The sequence below is a fragment of the Homo sapiens genome, chromosome 9 (genome assembly GCF_000001405.40).
Source record: "Homo sapiens chromosome 9, GRCh38.p14 Primary Assembly".
Lineage (NCBI taxonomy): Eukaryota > Metazoa > Chordata > Mammalia > Primates > Hominidae > Homo > Homo sapiens.
Window position 1 is genome coordinate 134,759,062 of NC_000009.12, and position 16,924 is coordinate 134,775,985.

General features: G+C 55.9%; 1 protein-coding gene and 1 long non-coding RNA gene across 4 annotated transcripts in view, besides 2 other annotated features; one reads left to right on the plus strand and one right to left on the minus strand.

Annotated features, from left to right (window-relative positions):
- COL5A1 (collagen type V alpha 1 chain) overlaps positions 1 to 16,924 on the plus strand; it is a 203,041-nt gene that overhangs the window by 117,259 nt on the left and 68,858 nt on the right. For all 3 annotated transcript variants that reach the window (NM_000093.5, XM_017014266.3, NM_001278074.1), the window contains exons 19-27: positions 2,864 to 2,917; positions 4,632 to 4,676; positions 6,620 to 6,673; positions 7,393 to 7,437; positions 7,939 to 7,992; positions 8,249 to 8,293; positions 9,349 to 9,402; positions 13,729 to 13,773; positions 15,798 to 15,851. In NM_000093.5, the coding sequence (NP_000084.3) occupies positions 2,864 to 2,917; positions 4,632 to 4,676; positions 6,620 to 6,673; positions 7,393 to 7,437; positions 7,939 to 7,992; positions 8,249 to 8,293; positions 9,349 to 9,402; positions 13,729 to 13,773; positions 15,798 to 15,851 (450 nt within the window). The remainder of the gene's footprint in view (positions 1 to 2,863; positions 2,918 to 4,631; positions 4,677 to 6,619; positions 6,674 to 7,392; positions 7,438 to 7,938; positions 7,993 to 8,248; positions 8,294 to 9,348; positions 9,403 to 13,728; positions 13,774 to 15,797; positions 15,852 to 16,924) is intronic.
- Positions 7,496 to 7,755: an enhancer, noted in NCBI's record as "active region_29286". NCBI's record gives its function as "activates an Ori minimal core promoter by ATAC-STARR-seq in GM12878 lymphoblastoid cells {active_cell/tissue: GM12878}" and the evidence as "EXISTENCE:reporter gene assay evidence [ECO:0000049][PMID:35858748]".
- On the minus strand, positions 11,568 to 16,819 carry LOC124902301 (uncharacterized). Its single transcript, XR_007061843.1, has 2 exons — positions 14,156 to 16,819; positions 11,568 to 13,613 (listed from the first exon to the last, which is right to left on the minus strand). It is a non-coding gene; the product is annotated as an uncharacterized LOC124902301 (long non-coding RNA).
- Positions 14,260 to 14,761: an enhancer, noted in NCBI's record as "H3K27ac hESC enhancer chr9:137665167-137665668 (GRCh37/hg19 assembly coordinates)". NCBI's record gives its function as "activates a minimal SCP1, AML or CMV promoter by ChIP-STARR-seq in primed H9 embryonic stem cells {active_cell/tissue: H9 hESC(primed)}" and the evidence as "EXISTENCE:reporter gene assay evidence [ECO:0000049][PMID:30033119]".

Consider the following 16,924-nt stretch of genomic DNA (forward strand, 5'->3'; position numbering starts at 1 on the left):
TTGGGGGCCTGACATGAGGGCTCTTCACAGCTTGTGGGGTGTTCCTTCTCTGACCTGCTTTCTGTGAAGCAGATTTCTCTGATGGCTCCTTTATATTTTAGCACACTGAGGACATACAGGCACATGAGTATGTGAGTGCACACCCCCCATGCACACACACACCCACACATACACCACATACACCACACATGTGTGCGCGCACACACTCATACACACATGCACACACACGCATACACACCCACACACCCCCACACTCATACACACATGCACACAAGCACACACACACACCCACATTCATACACAGATGCACACACACCACACATGCACACATACGCATACACACCCACACACACCCACACTCATACACACATGCACACACCCACACCCACACACTCATACATGCACGCACACACACCCACACACACCCACACTCATACACACATGCACACACACATACACACACCACATACACCACACATGCGCACACACACTCATACACACATGCACACACCACACACCCCCACACATGCATACACCCCCACACCCCCACACACATATGCACACATACACCCATATTCATACACACATGCACACATACGCATGCACACCCCCACACCCCCACACTCATACACATATGCACACATGCACACACCCCCCCACCCCCACACTCATACACACACACCACACATGCACACACACCCACGCACCCCCACACTCATACACACATGCACACACACCACACATGCACACACGCATACACACCCACACCCCCCCACTCACGCACACCCCCACACCCCCACACTCACACATGCACACACACCACACAGGCACACACACACCCATGCACCCCCACACTCATACATGCACACACACGCATACATACCCCCACACCCCCACACTCATGCACACATGCACACACATGCACACCCACACACCCCACACTCATACACACATGCACACACACCCACGCACACACGCACATACACACCCACACACCCCCACACTCATACATGCACACACGCATACACGCCCACACACCCCCACACTCATACACGCCCACACACCCCCACACTCACATGTGCAGACACCACACATGCACACACATACATGCACACACACATACACCCCCACACCCCCACACTCATACACACATGCACACACCACATGCACACACACGCATACACACCCACACACCCCACACTGATACACACATGCACACACGCACACACCCCCACACCCCCCACACATACACACATGCACACACCACACATGCACACACACCCCCACACACCCCCACACATACACACACACCACACATGCATACACACCCCCACACCCCCACACTCATACACACATGCACACACACCACACATGCACACACATGCATACACACCCACACACCCCCACATTCATACACACATGCACACACACCACACATGCACACACGCATACACACCCACACACCCCCACACTCATACACCCACACACACACGCACATACACACCCACACACCCCCACACTCAGACACATGCACACACACCACACATGCACACACACACACCCACACACCCCCACACTCATACACTCATGCACACACACACACCACACATGCACACCCCCCACACTCATACATGCACACACACACCCACACACCCATACACACATGCACACACACCACACATGCACACACACCCCACACATACACGAACACCACCTACACATGCACACACACGCATACACCCTGACACACCCCCACATGCATACACACATGCACACATGCATACACACATGCACACCACCCACACATGCACACAGACGCATACATACCCACACACGCATACACACATGCACACACACACGTACACACATGCACACACATGCATACACACCCGCCACACACATACACACATGTATACCACCCCGATACACACATACACGTGCACACCAGCCACACACGCATACACACGTGCACAGGCTCCACACATGCCCACACTCACACCCACATGCACACACATGCACACGTGCACACACCCCACACATGCACACAACCCACACATGCACACTCATACCCCCACATGCATACACGCCACGCACACGCATACACACCTATACACACATATGCACCCCCCATCCCCCCACATGCACACAGGCATACACATGCACACACCCCACATACCCCCACACACTCCACCCACACACGTGCACTCGCATACACACATGCACTCACACAAACACACAGGCGCACCCACACATCCACCCACACCCCACTGCTCTGTTGATTGCTCCCGTAAGCATGCCCTGCAGCCCTCCATGATGCCTTGAGAAGGGGCTTGGCTGTTGCCATTTATCCAAAGCTGCTACATGTATGTTCTCCAACAACCACATGGAAACAGCACAGCCATGAAGGCTGTCCCTGACTCAGCTCCAGCCCTTTTGCACGACTGATGAGCACATATTGAGCACCCACTGCGTGCGAGCTCTGAGGCTGCAGGCAGGCGGGGCTCCCTGAGGGTATGAGCGTGAGGCTGCTTCACCTGGAGCACTTGGGCTGAGGATAGCTCAGACCTCGGCTCAGTGTCCTGAGGCTGCCCACATGTGTGGCCCTGCCTTGCGCTGCTGGGTGCTCAGTCCAGCACCCTCCTACCTTCAGGCCATCGTGGTGAGACTCAGGTGAGAGTCTGCAGCCTGCATTAGCCCGGCTGAGGCACACGTGATCTTCTAAGGAAAATTCCCCCATTCTGGAAGGGTCTTTTGAGAGCTTGGGAATCTTACTGTCAGAATTAGAGAAAAACAAAGTGGGACCTTGGACAAGCCCTGCATGACCTGCTCAGGAGAGGCTGACGTTGACCCTTTCACTTCCTAGGGTGACCCTGGTCCTTCCGGCCCACCAGGACCTCCGGGAGACGATGGAGAAAGGGTAGGTATTCTGCCGTCCCTCCGACTGCTCCTGCCTGCCCTACTCCTCAGTGATTTGGGCAGGAAAACCACAGAAGAGAGGCCCAGGTGTGGGATTGGCCTGCCGCATGTGGAGGGCCAGCTGGGAGAAGGCAGATGGGGATTCCAGTGGGCAAAGCGATTGATCAGATGCCAAGAGGCTGCGGGGCATTGGAGAGACCCTGACTGCAACGTTTAGTTACTCCATCGGTCCTGCTGATGGATGGAGCTCGGGGCCAGCTCTCAGCTCTCACTGCAGGATGCAGGTGCCCCAAACCCCACTGGGAGGAAAGGTGGCCAGAGCGTTTACTGAGCTCAGCGTCTCTGCTTATCTCGTCCAGATGAGGAGTTAGCTGGAGGCATGTGGGTGGCAGAAAGCTGAGATTTGGAGGAGCAGAAGAGGGTGGGGGGATTGGAAATAACCCTCTGTGGGCCTGGAGGTAGGGGAGCGAGTGGCTGTGGCCATGGGGCCAGAGCACAGGAGGGAGCTGTTCTCCAGCATGGACGCACAGGCCGGGGTCTGGTATCTGCCACGCCGTCTTCATGTGTGGAGGCGAAGTGGGATCTCTGGGCCACAGCACAGTGGGATTGGGGCATGGGATGCACGAGGCTGTGGGTTTCCAAGCTCTTCCCTGCAGGCACCGCAGTCACTCAGACGCCTTCTTTGTATGTGAGAGGTGTTTAGGGGGAAAGCTTTAAGGAGCTCTGGAGGGTGAGAAAGAGGAGCAGCTCCAGGGGCATTTCTGTCTCACCAGCTTTCAGGCTGACATGGACGGGGCACCTGCTCCTGTGTGGGCCTCAGCACAGTCTGCTGTAAGATGAGGAAGGAGAGAGGGACCCTTCTAGATGTCAGTGCTTCTTGATTGAGAGGACGTGTGTGTGTGTGTGTGTGTATGCGTGCATATGTGTGGCTGTGTGCATGTGTATGTGCAGGGAGTGCACGTATCTGTGTGCATGCATGCACGCATGGCTGTGTGCGTGTGTATGTGGACAAGCATGTGTGTATGGCTGTGTATGCATGTGCATGCACAGGGTGTATGTGTGTGCACAAGCATGTGAGCATGGCTGTGTATGCATGTGCATGCACAGGGTCTGTGTGTCCATGTGTGTGTAGGCATGTGTAGGCAGGCTGTGTGTGAGCATACATGCTTGCATGTGTGAGGCGGGCGGGAAGGTGCAGTGGTGCTTTGGCGAGGGACAGTGTTTGCAAACAGCCCGTGGGTTGAAGCAGTGAGCCAGGGAGGCATTCCCTTCTGCAGCCAGGAGGAAGCCTCTTGCTGTACTTTCCAGGCTGTTTAGGACCCCGGCAGGGACACCTGGTTCCCCAGAGGGTGGCCCAGGGGATCTTGTGACTCTCCCCTGATGCCCTGTCCTGCCCCAGAGGCTGTCATTCAAGAAGGTCACCAAATCCTTTCAATTAGATGCTCTTTCTGCCCAGCCTTTCCTCTGGAGAGCTGTGGCATGTGAGCTCCTGAGCCGGCATCTCAGAGCCTGCAGGCTTCACCTGCAGTGTCTGCACACCTAGCAGCTTGCTGGGAGCGAGGACATTCCAGGCCTTTCCGGCTGGTACCAGAGCTGGTAAACCTGGCGTATGTGAAGCAGCCCCAAGCCAGAGAACCCTTGTGCACCACTGAGGGGAAGCTGGTGTCCAGGCTAACAGCTCATTTCTCTAACCTTGCCTTTTTTCTCCTCTGCAGGGTGACGACGGAGAAGTTGGGCCCAGGGGGCTGCCTGGGGAGCCCGTAAGTCTGTGAGCTGAGTGGGACGGTGGGGGCTCAGTGTGGAGAAAGGCTTTGTCCAAGGCTCCTGCTGGAGCAGGATCTGGGATCAGCCAGGAGCTTAGAAGAGAGAGAGCTCGACCTGAGAACAGACGGACCTGGGCATCTCCCAGGGAAGCCAAAGAGAGGAGGCACAGGCGAGGCTGGCTGGCAACTCCAGGAGGAAGTCTGAGCCTGCCTACAGGAGCAAGCCTGGCCCTCAAGGGTTGTTGTGGGGGTCCAGGGGCAGCGTGGTGGGGTCTGGGGGCATTGTGGGGAGTCGGGGGCAGTATGTGGGGTCCATGGGCATTGTGGAGGGTCTGAGGGCATCGTGGTGGGGTCCGGGGTCAGTGTGGGGTGTCCGAGGGCATGGGGGTGGGGGGTACAGGGGCATCATTGGGAGGGTCCAGGGTCAGCATGGGTGGGTACAAGGGCATTGTGGGGGGTCTGAGAGCATTGTAGGGGGTCTAGGGGCAACATGGCAGGGTTCAGTGGCACCATAGGGGGTCCGAGGGCATTGTGGGGGGTCAAGGGAGAAGCATGGGAGGTCTGAGGTCATTATAGGGGGTCAGGGGGCGGCATGGGGGGTTCAAGGGCATTGTGGGGGATCTGAGTGCATTGTGAGGGGTCCCGGGGCAGCACAGTGGCATCCAGGGGCATTGTGGGGGGGGTCACACACCTGAATCAGCCCGAGCTTGGGCCCGTTTCAATGGCCACCCTTCCAGAGGCAGATTCCTCCAGCAGACTCTGCCCCAGCCCTGGGCATGGGAAAGCTCTTCCCTAAGCAGACATATATTTAGGCCCAGAGCAAATTTCCTGATGGATAGGACATTAATTACTATTCATTTACTGTTGCTTTAAAGCATCTCTTTTCTCGTAGCCAAGTCAGCCCGGCTGCGTGCGTCAGGTGGTGCTAATTGATGAGAAATATAGCAGGCACTGCATAGAGGAGGCAGGGGTCGGTGCCTGCAGACTCATTTGGGACTAAATTATACCCCAGATGTCTGATTAGCCTCTAAGGAGAATTCATGAACTCCACTCTCTCCTTAACACATGTCCAAGTAATACCTTCTGGGCTGTTAGCTTCCAAGAAATGTTGCTATAACTAGGTATTAAAATAACGAAGGAAACATTTAAGAGGCAGTAAGTGGGGGAAGGAGTTCTCTTCTACAGAATCTGAAAAGGTTCTGTCAAAATTAAGGGCACTTGAAGTCCACGTACCTGGGGTGAAGCCTCTGTAATTCTCCGTGGGTGGGGGGTGTGAGTGCCCTGTGGCAGGCAGTTCTCCCGGAATCTCACTCCACCTGCGGTAAAGGGGAGGTTCTGCACGAGCCTCGCCGACCGGAGAGGGCGTGCCAGCTCTTGCCCAGAGTAGCGTCCTGGAAAAGATCTGTACCCCACGCCTCCTTCTGCACATTCAGTCTTGGGGTTCCCACCAGGGACTAGTTTCACCTGGTGCTCTCCTGCCCGCACCCTCTGACCCTGTGATATCATAAAAACAATCGTATGTCGCTGCGGAGGGGAATTCAGGAGCGAGCCGGTAATGAGGATAGGGCACAAGGGCTCCGTGCAGTGGAATGTTATAGCGTGGTGATTCTCTGGGGGAGCGTCTGCTCACCTGCCCCAGCAAGTGTCAGAGGAGCCGGTCAGCTTGAAAGCCCCCCTTTCCCTGAGGGTGCCCTGTGGTGTCCTCTCTGAGTTCTCACCAATTCCAGACACCTGCCCCTGGTTCCCAACACCAGGGTGGGGTGGAGGGAGGCAGCGCAGCAGGCTGGGAGGGAGTCTGGGCCTCACTCCTGGGAGGCCAGGAGGCCTGAGTCACCAGCTGGGGTTCTGGGTGGAGTCAGGGCCAAGTGGGCATAGGGGACAGAGAGGAGGGCTGGGATTTCTGCCCGAGTTTAAATCCTATTTTCCCTTTCCTCTTACAGGGGCCACGTGGTCTGCTTGGGCCGAAGGGGCCCCCAGGTCCTCCCGGACCTCCCGTAAGTCCCATTACCGCCCTGCTTGTCTGCCCCCATCTCGGCCTTTGAGACCCCGCCTCCCAGCCGGTGGACGCTTGGGCACTGGGGCAGCAAGTCCGTGCTGGCCCCTCTGGCGCCTGCCTGCTGCCAGTGTGAGGCGTGAGCGGGACACTGATGTTCAGACGCTGTAGACACGGCCCCAGCAGGTGTGGCCTTGCAGGTGGAGGCCCGAGGCTGCCGGCCTCACGCCTCCGCTTCACCCTGGCTGCACTTCCTCCTGGCAGACAGCATGTGCTATTTCAGTTATAAGCAGAAACCCAGGATGTCACGTTTCTTCCCTGCTAGAAAGAACTTCCAGCAGCTTCTGTGAACATTCTGGAAGGAGGCTGAAGCCCTTGATTCCAGTGGGGCTGTGTCCCGGTGGGCAGCTCCCCCAGGGCCAGGCCTGCCCCCTTCAGCCTTCCCAGCCCCGTGACCTGGTTTTCTAGAACCTGAGGCCTGCCCCGTGGAATGCTAGGGCCTGGCAGTTCAGTTAACCTTTAGCTGAGGGTTACTGGGGCTGATCAGTGGACCTCTGGGAAGGGATTTGGAGTCAGGTCCTTCCCTTCCCCAGAGAGCATCCCGTCCTCTGATTCGTCGTGGGATGGGCGTCTGAGCTGAGTTGAGTGGGATTTTCCTCTTGAGCACTGTGAGTTCTTTCGCATTCAGTTACATGTTTTTCTTCTTAAAATCGTACACAGGGTGTCACGGGTATGGACGGCCAGCCGGGGCCAAAAGGAAATGTGGTAAGTCCCTGGGGTCCCGTGGCCTGGCTTCAGGGGCACTTTCCCTGGGCACACTCCTTGCCTGGCTAGGGAGGTCCATCGCTGTCCACATCAGCTGGGAACATGAAGGGCAGGTTGCAGACCCTCTGCTGTGGTGCCCACCCTCCAGTGGTGAGTGGCACCTGGAGACTTTAGCATGATGGGGTGACTTGGGAGTTTTCTGCCCAATAAATCATTTCTGGTCAGTTCCTCTCACGTGTTCCTTCCTGGTCGGATGTCTGGGCATATTTGCATAAACGAGTTAGTGCTCACTCCATCAGAGTCAACCTCCACAGCCTCAGAGGCGCTGAGTCCTGGGGCTGCTCTCTGTGGTGGGACCCGGCCGCCTTTCCCTTCCCGCTGGCATTAGGCAGTGGGGAGCAGTTTGAAAGGATGGGAGGCCAGTGAGGGGGCACACGACACCCAGGAAGGGGATACAGTTCCCAGAGCCCCCTTCAGTGCCTTTGCTCTTGTCTCCTGTAGGGTCCCCAGGGAGAGCCTGGCCCCCCAGGACAGCAGGGTAATCCAGGCGCCCAGGTAAGTGAGCCTGAGAGAGGCAGCTCGCAGGGATCCGGCCGTGGGAGGCACACGTCTCCAGTCCGGAGCCCTGGGAGGAAGCGGGGAGCTCTGTCCCCTCCAAGTAGCAGCCCCTCCCCTTATCTGGAGGGAGACTAGGACCTGGGTTGGTGCCTGGATGAGGGAGACATCAATGAGAAGATGGACAGATGGCAGGGGAGGGTTCTGAGTCAATCAGCGCCCTCACCTTCCCTTTCTGGCTCTTTCTCCCTCTTAGGGTCTTCCAGGCCCCCAGGGTGCAATTGGTCCTCCAGGAGAAAAGGTAGGTGGGCCTGGGCTGTGTTGCAGGCCACTGCCCGCCTGCAGGTGGATTCCCTGGCCCCACCCTGGGAGGACCCCTGGTATCCACCAGCTCTCAATGTATATCTTGGTGCTCCCAAGAGACGCCAAAGCTCAGAGTGCCAAGAACTGGGCCAGAAGCATGAGGAGGATTTTGGATCCGTGTCTCATTGATTCATACGTTTATTCATTCATTCATTCTCTAGTATGTATAGGGGTTGCTGGATTTAGCAAGGAACAAAAATACAGGACATGCAGTTAAATTTGAACTATTGTGTATCTGAAATTCAAATTTAACCGGGCATCTTGTTTTGTTGTTGTTTATTTTGGTTTAGTCTAGTTTTGCTAAATTTGGCAACTTGACTGTATCTCCAGAGCCTACTGTGTCCTAGGCCCTGGAACGAGAGCTGGAAGTGCTTGCCCTTCTAGAGCTTGTCGCTTAACCAGGCACAAGATAGTTCAGGTAGCTCCAAGTGCCTTGGTTGCGATCAGCAAAAACACCTCCAAGGGGCTGGTTCTGAGTGCATGAGAATCCCCGGGGGGCCTGAGAAACACAGAGGGCTGGGCTGCTGCCAGGCCTGGGACCTTCCAGGAGCTGCTGTTTATGGGATACTGAGGCTGTGGGCCTTGCACTGCAGGATGCCCTGCCCTGCCCTGGGGTGTTGATGTGAACAGACCAGGGAGGACAGGGTGGTGGGAGCACTTGAAGAAGGCACAGCACTGTAAGAGCAGAGGAGGCCAGATGATGCCCCCCCGGGCCCCAGTATGCAGCAGGTGGATGTGGAGAAGAATGGGGGCACTTGGTGGACTGATTCCGTTCCTACAGCAGAACCTGAAGGTGCTGAGAACAGTGGAGCCGCCTCCTCCTGGGCGCTACCGTGGCTGCACGCCTCACAGCCAGGGACCCAGTGCCTCTGACCACACTTCTCAGCAAATGCTGTGTGGGCAGAAATGTTGAAAAGTAACCTTGGTGGCCGACGGAGAGGTCAGGTGAGCCTAGGGAGGGCATCTCCTCATGGAGTCTCTGGTTTGTTCTAGGGTCCCTTGGGGAAACCAGGCCTTCCAGGAATGCCCGGTGCTGACGGACCCCCGGTGAGTAGCCCTGCCCACCTCATCCCTCCATACTCTCCCCACCTCCACCCTGCGGATAGGGCTGCAGGCCCAGGCTCTTTGGGGTTGTTGTTGGACGGCATTGACTCATTCTGGCTCTGTTGATGAAGACCCGTTTGGTCTCCAGTTGGACTGCTCGGTCATTCTTGGGTTCTGGACACCCTTAACATCATGGATTTTAATCAACGAGTGGCGATTGCGCGAGTAGGAATATTAGCTATTTATTAGGTTGTGCTGATTAATTACCGGAAGTCAGGCCTGCGTGCTGAGCCGTGAGGAGGGCTGGGCCGGGCTCCAGGCCATCGCTTGCGTCCCCAGGGTTGGAAGCGAAGAGGCAGGGTACGTGGTGTGTATTTTTAGTGTTCACACACTGAGAAGGGAGGTGGTGAGCAAACGCGTTTGCAGTGTGTGCGCGCACAGCTGTGGAGCCAAATTAGATTCTGCCTGGAAATAGCGAGTTGGTGACAAATCCAATCTGTGTCTAAGCTGTGTGGAGGGGGGAGGTGTGAGGAAGTAGAACACACTCAGAATGCGTGCGTGCGTGCACACGTGCGTGTACATGAGTGTGAGCTGATTTGCACCCACACCCTCTGTAAGTGCCTGCTGTGGTTTTGGTTTTGATTATTCCGTTAATGCTGAGTCTGTTTCACAAACGAGATTAGCAGAATTAATTATTGAAGATGCAGTATGCTTTATGGTTTTAATAACACTGTTAAAAACTAAACAAGGAAGTTAAATATGTTGATGATTATCGGTGACTGCTCACCACACAGCATCCCTCAGGCCGAGTCAGTTGGCCCAGTGACTCCCACATCACAAACTGCCCTTTCTTGGTCAGAAGAAGCAGAGTGGAGCCTTCTCATCCCCACGCGCGCAGCTGTGGGGCCCCGTGGTCACCTGGCCACATGGGAGTTTGCATACTGAGTGGTTCATCTTTTCCAATGTGTTGTGTCCTTTAATTTACATTTATATTTCATTGCCCTTTCTAATGATCAGAACAGCACATCTTGTTATAGAAAATTAGGAAAATAAATAAAATTACAGTAAAATTATAGCCACCTTTGATCTCATCTCCTGATTTAGCCATTGACAGCGGGTGGACGTGTGTCCTTCCAGGCTAGTTTTCTGTTCCCGTGCTGCTGGCTGTGGTGTCCATGGAGTATGGGCCGCAATCTGTGGGGACAGTGGCTGGGCCCAGAGCCCTGCGGGGAGGAAGGGGACCTGGGTGTGAAGCAGGCCACACGAGGAAGGGGGGCCTGGGTGTGAAGTGGGCTGTACCCCTCTTTCCTTCTGCGGGGAGGAAGGGGGCCTGGGTGTGAAGGTGGCTGCACCCCTCTTTCCTTCTGCGGGGAGGAAGGGGGCCTGGGTGTGAAGGGGGCTGCACCCCACCTTCCTGCCAAGATCATTCTCTCGGCCCTCAGCTGACCTAACTTGTTCTCCCTGGAATTCCCCTCCCCATGTTGAAACCTCCAAAGAATTGGGGTCCCTAAAGAGCCTGCAGTTTCCTTTTATATTCTTTGGGGGAAGGAAAGGCCTTTAAGGTGTCCCTTCCCCAGCCCGAATTTAAAGCTTAAAATGTGAGCGTAGGTGGACCCCATTCACATGAAGGTGCTTCGAGCAAAAGGAAGCAAAGGGTAGGCCCAAAGACAGCCCCAGCCATCTCCCACGAAAATCTGGAGGAAAGAAAAGATGTTTAAAAATTCTCCTTTGCAAAGGCAGCACATTGAGGGTAAACCCTACAGAGAGAGTTTTCTTTTTTTCTTGTTTTGGTTTTGGTTTCAAAGAAAGGAAGATTGCCTTAAAATCCATCAAGAGGTATGAGGCACTTCAGAGCAGACTCAGTGCCTAGAAATATGTTGTTGAATAAATCCTGATAGCACACGCTGGGGAAATGGCTAAGTGAATTATGGCTCAGTGGAATATATTCCTGGTATCACACGCTGGGGAAATGGTTAAGTGAATTATGGCTCAGTGGAATATTACAGAGCCAGTAAGAATTGAATTTAGACAAATACTCCGTGACATGAGAAAAATGCTCACAATGTAATATTAAATTAAAAATAGATCTACCATGCCAAGGGCGCATGCATATCTGCAGAGACGACAGATGATTCTATCATACAATTAGCCACAGCCACTCCGAGTGGTGAGGTGATGAAGGATTTTAATTCCTCTTCCAGTTGCCTAATTGTCTATGATGAACATACGTTACTTTTTTAATCAGAAAATATCAAATACAAATAATGTAAGCTTTATTATTTTCCCATTACAGAAGCACTGCTCATTATAGAATATTGGGAAACACACACAAGTAGAAAGAAAGGGGAAAGCGGCCCTGCCCGGCTTTGCAGGAAAATCAGTCGTGGTTATCTTGTTACGTTTCCTTTCTGCCTTTTCCTGTTCAAACATTTTTTAGTAAGGGAGCTTTGTGCTTCCCCCCACTGCTTTACTCTCATTCTCTATCTGTAACTGAAAATATACCTAAAGGAATTTGGCCTGGATGGGAATGGAGGCCGCCGTGATGCCGGCCGCTAACTCTGCTTGGTGCTCCCTGGGTGGGCGCAGTTCTGAGCCCCTTGCAAACGCTCTGTGCGTCTCCGCAGCGGCGCTGTGTGCAGATGTGCTGTTATCTCCAGCCTGGAACTGAGGAAATGACCACGTGGAGAGGCCTGGGGGCTTCCTCGAGCAGCCGGGGCTGGGTCTGCCCGGTCCAGAGCCGGGCTCTCGGCCCCCCTGCAGATCCACCCACTAGGTCCTTCACAGAAAGGTGTCTGTGGCTGATAGAAAGTGTAATAAAGGGCCACAAAGAACCCCTCCTGGCCACCCTGGACCAGGACACCCTCTAGTTGGCTCTGTTCAGGTCCAGCCCGGCCACTCTGAGGTGCTGGCGCCATGAGCCTTGTTTCCGGAAGGCGGCGTGGTGGCCAAGCACGTCCCCTCCCAGCTGGAGCAGCGGGTGAGGTCCCGCAGGTGCCTGGACTTCCTCAAAGCCTCCCTCAAGGGGAACTTTGCGCCCTCCCACTCACTTGCTGCTAGGATAGGCTGTCTGCTAGGATAGGCTGTCTGCAAAGGCATCAAACCCAATTGGACAGCTAATAAAAACTTAAAAGTCACACACGAACCATTTAATTGAGGCAACGAGACTTGGGTCTTCTTAATGCTACTGTGTCTAGAAAGAGTCTCAGATCAACGTTAGGCCACTCAAGGTAGAAGAGCATCTTGCCACCCTCTCGTGTTATACCTGAGGAAGCGGGAGGCCCAGAGAGGGCAAGTGACCTGCCCAAGCTCACACAGCAGGTTGAGTGTGTCCAGGAGTAGAACCCACCCTGCCAGCCTTCTCATCACCCTGCCCAGCCTCTTTCCTGGAATCCTCGTTGGTGGAACTGCATTTCTGCACAGTGAACATTGATGATCTTTCTGCTTTTATCCTGGAAGTTTGGCTCACCGATCCTGAGCTCACAGGCATTAAACCGAGTGACCCGCCTGGGTTGGAAAGTCAGAGAAACCTGCATTCCTAGGAATGGAATTAGTACAGGCCCAGGCAGGCAGGAGACACAGGTCCTTCCTAGAGCCTCGGCTGGGTACCTGTCACATGGGGCATAGGTCCTCACCTTCGCTCAGCTCCCCTCCATCCCCGAGGCCAGGTGGAGACCCGAGGGTGTGGGTCTCAAACGAGGCAGCTGTTTGAAGACTCACGGATGTGCTGGGACCCCTCAGTCAAGTAACACGCCTTAGCCCTCCACCCCGCACCAACCTTGCTTTGCTTTTGGTTCCCCAACAATCAGAGATTCCAAGGTTTGCAGACAGCTCAGCAATTGCTAGTCCGGGAAGCAGGGATGCCAGGAACCTGGTCCCAGCTCATTATTGTGCAGATTCATCTTGTCAGGTGACCTGGGGAAGAGGCCCTTGTTGGCCCTGTCCCCACTCGTGGGTCACTGGTCTGTGGACCTGCACTGGAGGGCGGGCTGGCTCTGGCCGGGTCAGGAGCCACCGTGCAGGTCACCTGTGCACTTGGGGGTTGCTGCATACTCCCCGCAAGTCTCTGGCCTTGGCCGGGGTTGGGCCAGGGTCAGGCTTATTGTTCCCATTTTGCAGATGGAGCAGCCGAGGTTCAGGGCCTGGCGGCTCGGGGAGGCCGGGCTGTGCTTGGCTGCCTGGCCAGCTGCCTTCGACTTCTGGTGCTCTCAGTTTTCCTGGGGAGGAAGGGAAATGGGCTCCATGATCATGGATGCTACGCAGGGAGGGGAAGCGAGGGAGGCTGCTTTCTGGAGTGGCACTGACTAATCAATGCTTCTTCTTTTGTGACAGGGACACCCTGGCAAAGAAGGCCCTCCAGGAGAGAAAGGAGGTCAGGTGGGTGCTCGCCACGCCCTCCTACCCTTCAGCATCCAGGTGGGGCGGGTCCAGGTGCTCTGGGCTCAGCCTCTGCTCAGGGACATCCAGCTTGGAAAGGAAGGAGCCGGGGACACTCAGCCCTTCCTCAGGTGTCTCCGCCAAGGGACCCAGCCTGGGGGGGACACAGGCCTTTTCCCCAAGAAGCGGGGCACCCCTCTCTGGGTCAGTGCCCCTCACCCCACCCTCCAGTTGCTGCCCATGACCGGATCGGGTGCCCATGACCAGATGGGGTGTGGGCAGCAGGGCAGTGTCTCCGTGTTCAGCCCTGGTCTTGACTCTGCACAAGCTGGGTGGCCTTTGAGTTTTGGGGAGATGCTATTATGAATGGGGACAGACCTACCAGGTCACGCCGGTGCCAGGGATGGAGTCTTTCTATGGATGACTGTGTCCGACACTGTGAGCGGCTTGTGGTTCCTCCTGCGGGGCCTGCTGGGCTGCGAGGGTCCCATGCAGCACGTCCACCAGCGCCTTCTCTCCACTGCGATTCATGACAAAGCTGCTGGGCTGCAAGCACCTCTGTGGGAAGAGCCTCCAGACGGGAGGAGTAGCCAGTGGGGACTGCTCTTGCTGTCCTGGTGTGCGCCAACCTTCGTTCACCCCAAGACTGCTTTTCTTGTGTGTTGAAACCGCACACCGAGCTCATGGTCGTCGGGAGCCTGGGGCTGAGGGCAGAGGCCCACCTGCTCCAGGGTTCCAGAGGCCCCAGTTGTCACAGGCTCTGGAATCGGGCCTGATTAACATTTATCTCTTGAAGCAGGGCCTGTGCAGGCAAGATGGGGTCTGGGGCCTGGTCCCAGCTCCCCTTGCCAAGGGTGTGGTAGGCCAGGACTGACCCTCCAGGGCAGCAGAGCTAGCGCCAGTCCTCACAGGGAGTTCAATTTCCAGTGCCAGGCCTGCTGGGCAGTGGCACTTCTCCAACGTGCTGCCTCTGAGACCCAGAGCGGTCTGAGATTCGCCACTTCTGCCCCGTTCCCTCTCTTGAAGGTCGCAGCAGCCACTGGGGTGAACCCTCCCCTCGGCCCTTGGCTTCCGTTCACCATGGGAGACCCAGTTCCCGCTGCCTCCAGTGGGGAGTTTACCAGCCCTCCTCCCTGGGCACAGCCTCTTATCATCAGAGGTGGAGGCAGCACCTGGGGCCACCAGAGCTCGCACAGTGCCCGGAACTGGTGCTGACAGGTGGTTGGCACTTGGAGCCCACAGCACAGGCCCACTGTTCTGAGAGCTGGCTTTTCAACTGGAACGAGAGGCATTCACTTACTCCCTGGGACTTCCTGAGTTCCTCTATGTGCCAGGCATCCTGTTAGCGATGGGATACAGCAGGGAGCAAGGCAGACCGGGCCCGGGCCTCAGAGCTGCAGCCTTGCAGAGGAGGCCACCAAGCCCATCCTGCCTGGGAGCTCCAGCCGCTGCCGTGACACCATGTGGAAAGGGGGCTGGGAGGGAGGCGGTGGGAGCCGTTCATCATGCTGGAGTCTTGGGCTGGGGGCATGGGGGCTGGATGCCCACCCCCATGAGCTCTAGTTGAGCATCGGCGAGGCCCTTGGCTGCTGGAGGATGTCTCTTCCCTGTCTAGCAGCCTTGTCCCTTCTCCCAGCCGGAAGCTCTCCTGATTTATTCCAAGGACCTTAGGCTGGGAATGCATTTCTTTAGGGACAACACTCCTTGCAGAGCTCCAACGCTGACCTTTCACCGTCTCACTGTTCCCCCAGCCTATCCCTTATTTCCCTGACTGCCGGGGTGGGGCCAGCGTTTGCTTCACCTCTGTGTCCCGCTCAGCATGAGACACAGCCACACCTCCACTGTCAGTGCAGGCTGTGAACACCTGTGCGAGTCTCCCACGGGGGGCCTCTCTGGAGGCTCTGAGCTGGGATGTTCGCCCTGCTCTCAGCAGGAGGGGTATGCCGAACTCTGGAGTTTCCTGATGTTCCCCAGGCACCTCCACACTGGCATGGGGCTAACGGTCTTTTTCTGTTTGGTTTTAGGGTCCACCTGGCCCCCAGGGTCCGATTGGCTACCCAGGTCCTCGAGGAGTCAAGGTGAGAGAGACTCACGCCACTCCAGGTCGTCCTGGAGGTCAGGGTTGGGACTGTGGGCCTTGGCGTGGCTGGTTTTAGGGAATTCTCTGTGGTTTAATGTCCCTGCTATTCAGTCTGGAGTAGCCCAGTCCTCCCAGTCACTTGTGTGGACGCTAGGTCTCAGGACAGCGGGCCTGAGCAGGTGAGGGTGTGACCAGCTAGAGTCAGGAGGGCTGATATGGAGCACAGGACAGTCTGCAGTCTGGTGACGACGCCAGGGGCGCGCTGGCGGCCATCTGTCAGGACGGGACACGTCCTTTTGCTTCTTGCCTCTTTAATTGTTGCCATTTGTCAGGCTTCTGTCACTCTCCTCGCAGACAGCAGATCCCGGCTGAAGCCAAGAGCCTGGCCTCTTTCCTGGGGAAGCTCGGAAACATTTCTTCCCAGCCATTTGCACATTCCGAGTGAGAAACAGAGTCTGTCTCCACCGATAGCATCTGGGTGGGCCAGCGCTGTCGCAAGGCGGAGTTCATGGGAGCTGTCCATTTATTCACAATCATTCGTGTTTCTGCCATGACGGGCTCTGACAACCTCGTTACATGGGGCGCACAGCTCCAGAGCAATATCCCAGACACAGGTCCCCTCTGTCACAGCCCAGCTAACTGTGTTTGCTCTGAGCTGGGTAATGCAATCTCGAGTTGTGCTGCTCTCTGGACACGGCACGTTCTGTGTAGACAGACATACCCCTAGGCGCACGCGGACCAGCTCTCCTCTTCCTCTGAGAATGGGGACTTGCGGTATCTTAAAGGCTCATGATGATTCTTTCCTTCAAGATGCTTTTAACTGGATGTGAAGGAATATGTGTGTATATATAGCAACTAGTCAAGCTTGAGGGATTTGTAGAAATGACTCACCAGCTCCCCTGCCCCTCACCTCCCTGGTCTGAAGGGCTTTATGCTTTTCAAACATTGTTGCACATCAGAAGTGTGTGGCCGCCCTGGGGCATGGAGGCCAACTGGAAACTGTCGTCTGCTCCGAATCAACCCTCCTGACTCTGGCTGGTCACCCCTCACCTGCTCTGAGAGCCCAAGACA